General features: G+C 36.5%; 1 annotated feature.

Moving 5' to 3' along the window:
• Positions 1,342–1,843: an enhancer, noted in NCBI's record as "NANOG hESC enhancer chr11:97635518-97636019 (GRCh37/hg19 assembly coordinates)". NCBI's record gives its function as "activates a minimal SCP1, AML or CMV promoter by ChIP-STARR-seq in naive H9 embryonic stem cells {active_cell/tissue: H9 hESC(naive)}" and the evidence as "EXISTENCE:reporter gene assay evidence [ECO:0000049][PMID:30033119]".

Here is a 2,307-nt window from a genome sequence, read left to right as displayed (position 1 = left end):
TTGCCCAGGCTGGCCTTGAACTCCTGACCTCAAACGATATGCCTGCCTTGACCTCCCAAAGTGCTAGGATTACAAGCATGAGCCACCATGCCTGGCCTAAATACAACCATTCTTAATACTCTCAACCCTCCATATTCGTGGGTTCTACATTCCTGGATTCAACCAATCATGGATAAAAAATATTCATAAAAAATAAAAATAACAATAAAACAACACAACAATAAAAATAAGGCAAATATTAAGGATACACTATAACAGGCTGGGCACGGAGGCTCATGCCTATAATCCAAACACTCGGAGAAGCCAAGGCATTTGGATGACTTGTGGCTAGGAGTTCGAGGCCAGCCTGGCCAACATAGTGAAACCCCCGTCTTTACTAAAAATACAGAAAATTTAGCCAGGCTTGGTGGTTCACACCTGTAATCCCAGTTACTCAGGAGGCTGAGGCACAAGAGTCATTTGAACCTGAGAGGCGGAGGTTGTAGTGAGCCAAGATTGTTCTACTGCACTCAAGCCTGGGTGACAGAGAGAGACCCTGTCTCAAAAAACAAAAACAAAACAAAACAAAAACCAAAAAAACCACTATAACAACTATTTACATAACATTTACATTGTATTGGGTATTTTGAATAATCTAGAGAGGATTTAAAATATACAGGGGAATGTGTGCAGGTTATATACAAATACTACTCTATTTTGTGTAAGGTATTTGAGCATCTGCAAATTTTAGTGTCTTTAGCGTTTAGTGAGTGGGGTCCTGGAACCAATCCCCCACAGATATTGAGGGCAACTCTATATGGTTTTCTCCTATTTCAGGAACAGATTAACAGGAAGAAAGTTGTCACAAAAGTTTGCATCGTTAATGCAAAACACTGATATAAGTAAGATATTCTTGAATCTCTAGGAAGTTTGGCTATATTGATATTATGAGAAATTATTGCTACCATTTCCTAAGAATTCTATCATTCTCAATCCTGGAATATTTGAAATCAATTAACAGTTAAAATTATGTTTATGAAGATTCAAGCAGTACTGTAATAACACATAAGCACTCCCCAAAATAACACAGTTTTTGCATATCGTCAGTTCAGGTGTTCAATTTTGGGGAATAGAGAATTGCTTCTACATTTCTAACTGGCATCTGGAAATGCAGAGGGTCAGTGTGCTGGTGTTGCCCTGGGGAGATAAGTGGAAGGTAGGGAACCTCGAAGTTTGAGAAGGACGTGACAACTCCTCTTGTGCAACCTTTTTTGCTTTCTGACTGTAATTTCCTTTGGAACTTGGCAAGGAGGACTCCCCCCTGAGGGAAATGTGTTGCCCTCAACTGACAAGGGGGGCAAGCAACTATAGGTTTATTATTAGATGTTCCCTTGAGAAGTGAAGTTTTTAAAAGTTTCAAAAAGTGTTGTTTAAATTTCTATAGCTGCAGGACACCTGTAGTTTATGTGCTAACCATGTATCTATGTTTTACGAAGCTATTTAATCTGCAATTCACTCTTTAAAAAGGCAGTCACCATAGCAACTGACATGAGAAAGTATTGTGCTGGCTTTGACATGCAGAACACTCTGTAGACAATGCCATATATAGCCTACAGAGCAGTCAGAAGCTATGAATGCCTGGTTTCAGGAAAGTGGGGCTTAACTCATTATTTTAGTCATTTTCTTCTCATTACCTTAGGGAAGTGCTGAGAATAGTGAACTATAAGAAAAGCAAAAACTGTTGAATGTTGGCTACAACGCTGCTATTGGCTGAGATGAAGGCCCTTCTTTAAAGTCTTAAGAATTTTCAAAGAAAGTCTAGTTTAAGAGGTCAAAATTTTCTTTTCAATCATTTGTTAAGAAAATTATTATTTTCCCCCCATAACCATATACAATCAGATTATTACATCAAAAATTCACAGAAACTGGAGACAAATTACTTTTGTCCAGTAGCATGCTAATGCTTTGTATATAAGAAACACATTTTCTCTCACATCAGCAAAAAAAAGTTGAAAAATGTAAAAATACTTAATGTGTATCATTGTTTTTATCAATGTGTATCATTGATTTTTTATCAACAATAAAAAATCCTGAGTATTGTTACATTTTGATGACATGAGAGTATGCGACATTATTTTTTTCTGCTGGTAGTAGGATTAGCAGGTGCCATTTAATAATACAATGTTAAACACATGTTGCAATACAATTTGATTTACAACACCAATACAATTCAACAAATATTTCCTCGTATTTTGAATCTTTGCAAAACTATTTCCTATTTTTATTTTGAAAGTGTGTTTTCATGTTGGATTTTCCTTCTTAAACCCT

Source organism: Homo sapiens, chromosome 11, assembly GCF_000001405.40.
Source record: "Homo sapiens chromosome 11, GRCh38.p14 Primary Assembly".
Classification (NCBI taxonomy): domain Eukaryota; kingdom Metazoa; phylum Chordata; class Mammalia; order Primates; family Hominidae; genus Homo; species Homo sapiens.
This window is presented reverse-complemented; position numbering and strand designations above follow the sequence as displayed.